Source organism: Homo sapiens, chromosome 18 (assembly GCF_000001405.40).
Source record: "Homo sapiens chromosome 18, GRCh38.p14 Primary Assembly".
Lineage (NCBI taxonomy): Eukaryota > Metazoa > Chordata > Mammalia > Primates > Hominidae > Homo > Homo sapiens.
In genome coordinates, this window is record NC_000018.10 from 69117366 (window position 1) to 69119173 (window position 1808).

Below are 1808 nucleotides of genomic sequence, written 5' to 3' on the forward strand. Positions count from 1 at the left end.
CTGAGAAAGCTAAAATGGTATTATGTCAAGCCCACCCGTAACAGTTAACCTACTTTCATCATTTAAGATGCCTGTCAGAAGGAACTTAAGAGGCCCTTTAACACATTTACCTTTCATATAGTAACTATGATTAGATAAGTCTGAGATACATTTTCCCACTAAATATTAGTTAATATGTGCAAAGAGATCACACATATAATTGATCTTCATATATTATTTTCTGTATAGGAGACTTCTGGTGATTTAGCAATGTGCTTCATAACTTGGTAAAAGATAGATGAGGAATTGCCTGTGTCTAAAGCAAGTATTTCCAGAATAGATTAATGATGTATAAAGGTGATTTTTACTTTGGAATTATGATTAATAAAATGAAAATTAATACAAATATAAAGTGGATGCATTCATGTTTAAAACAATGCCATACTTAAACCAAAAATGAAGCCATCCAAACTTTTTATTGCCAGCAAGAATCTCTGCCTTTTAATTACATGTGACCATCACTCTCCATATCTAAAGAAGAAGTTTTGCATTATTTCCGAATGAAACCCATCAGAGATGACATATGAAAGACAGTTTTCCCTAAGCATCTATTTTATTCACTGTTTTGTTTGCTTGCTTATTTCTTCAGAAAATACACTTCGAGCTCTAAAAATTCAGATAAAATGTGTATTATTGTCATAAATATCACATGTATTTTAGCTGTGGTAAGGCACTTTACTCAATGGTTTAAAATGATTTTATTTTGTTTGTTTTGTTTCTATTTGAATCCTAGGAACAGTCTGTTTGAATCCTCTGAGGTGAATTCTATGTTCTGCATAGTGATGAGACAAGTAAAATTTATTGTTAGGGAAAACTCATAATATGAAATATAGGTGAGGCTTGAGACACACACACATCATGTTCCTAAGCAATGTTTGTAATTTTGCTTGTGTGTATGTGTGTGTCATGTACTCATCAGGTTTTGTCTTGAGGGTTAACTTGGCCTCTTGAAACAAGTTATGAAGTATTCTCTCCTCTACATGCCTGAAAACATTTGTATATATTTGATATTGTTCATTTCTTTATTTTCATTTTGGAATTTACCAATGAAGCCATCTGAACATTTACAAAAGTTGTAATTATGACCTCAATTTCTTTTCTGTTTTTAAACTTTATAAATTTTATAAACCCCATACATTTTGTTTTTAAACTTCATAAATTTTAAGTTCAGGGTACATGTGCAGGTTTGTTACCTAAGTAAACTTACGTCATGGGGGTTTGCTGTGCAGATTATTTCACCACCCAGCTATTAAACCCAGTATCCATTAGTTATTTTTCCTGATCCTCTCCCTCCTCTCACTGTCCACCCTCCTGTAGTCCCTGGAGTGTGTTACTCCCCTCTATTTGTCCATGTGTTCTTATCATTTATCTCCCACTTTTAAGTGAGAACATGCAGCATTTGGTTTTCTGTTGCTATATTAGTTTGCTAAGGATAAAGGCCTCCAGCTCCATCTATGTCCCTGCAAAGGGAAATATCTCATTTTTTATGGCTACATAGTATTCTGTGGTGTATATGTATCACATTTTCTTTATCCAGTCTAATACTCATGGGCATTTAGGTTGAGTCCATGTCTTTGCTAGTGTGAAGAGTGCTGCAATAGACATACACATGCTTGTGTCTTTATAACAGAACAATTTATATTCCTTTGAATTATACCCAGTAATGGGATTGCTGGATTGAATGGTATATCTGATTTTAGGTCTTTGAGGAATGACCACTCTCTTTCACAATAGTTGAACTAATTTACACTCCCACCAATAGTGTATAA